The sequence below is a fragment of the Homo sapiens genome, chromosome 3 (assembly GCF_000001405.40).
Source record: "Homo sapiens chromosome 3, GRCh38.p14 Primary Assembly".
Taxonomy (NCBI): domain Eukaryota; kingdom Metazoa; phylum Chordata; class Mammalia; order Primates; family Hominidae; genus Homo; species Homo sapiens.
In genome coordinates this window covers 141206793-141207682 of record NC_000003.12, presented here as the reverse complement: position 1 = coordinate 141207682, position 890 = coordinate 141206793, and the positions used below count along the sequence as shown (strand labels likewise).

The 890-nt window shown below is 48.7% G+C and overlaps 1 annotated feature.

Annotated features, from left to right (window-relative positions):
- Positions 389–890: an enhancer, noted in NCBI's record as "H3K4me1 hESC enhancer chr3:140925635-140926136 (GRCh37/hg19 assembly coordinates)". NCBI's record gives its function as "activates a minimal SCP1, AML or CMV promoter by ChIP-STARR-seq in naive H9 embryonic stem cells {active_cell/tissue: H9 hESC(naive)}" and the evidence as "EXISTENCE:reporter gene assay evidence [ECO:0000049][PMID:30033119]".

Below are 890 nucleotides of genomic sequence, written 5' to 3'. Positions count from 1 at the left end.
AAAGAGTGTTGTCCAAGTTGGCACAAGAGTGGGGGAGTTTTCAGGGGTTTTGAAGCTTGGCCGTCAATACCCACAACAGTTATGGAGTCAAGGGAAACAGACCCTTGAAAAGAAGGTAATGTGGAGTGGGTAGCCTCCGTATTGATTAAGAAGGGGACAGACTTACCCTCCACTGTGAGAGTTACCCGAAGCTCAGCGTCCGTGATGGTCTAGGGAGCTTCCGAGGTGATCGGGCAGCGTCAGTCTTCAGTTGCTAAGCCAAGAAGATTTGGGAAGGAGTCAGTCAGAGAGCCTTGGGCCAGAGTTCCAGGGGCTCTGGGAGTGGCTGCCCCACGAATTGAACAGTCTGATTTTCAGTGGGGTCCCGCACAGATGGGACATGGCTTAGGAGGAATCCCAGGCTGCGGGCATTCCTTGGCCTGATGGCCAGATTTCTGGCACTTGTAGGAAGCTCCTGGGGGAGGCGGGCCTGGAGGAATGCCTGGCCACTGCGGTTTAGGCATTTGGAAGTTCTTGTGTGCTGGAGATGTGGCTGGGGTTTGTCTCACAGTGGAGGCAAGGAATTGCAACTCAAATATGTTGCTACTTGGCTGCCTCTACTTTATTATTGTACACCTTGAAGGTGAGGTTAATTAAGTCCTGTTGTGGGGTTTGAGGGCCGGAATTTAATTTTTGGAGTTTTATTTAATTTTGGGAGCAGATTGAGTAATAAAATGTATATTGAGAATAAGACGGCCTTTTGACCTTTCAGGGTCTAGGGCTGTAAAGCATCTCAGGGTTGCTGCCAAAAGAGCCATGAACTGGGCTGGGTTTTTATATTTGACAAAAAAGAGCCTAAACACTCTCTGATTTGGGATAAGGAAAAGGAGAATTAACCTTGACTATGCCTT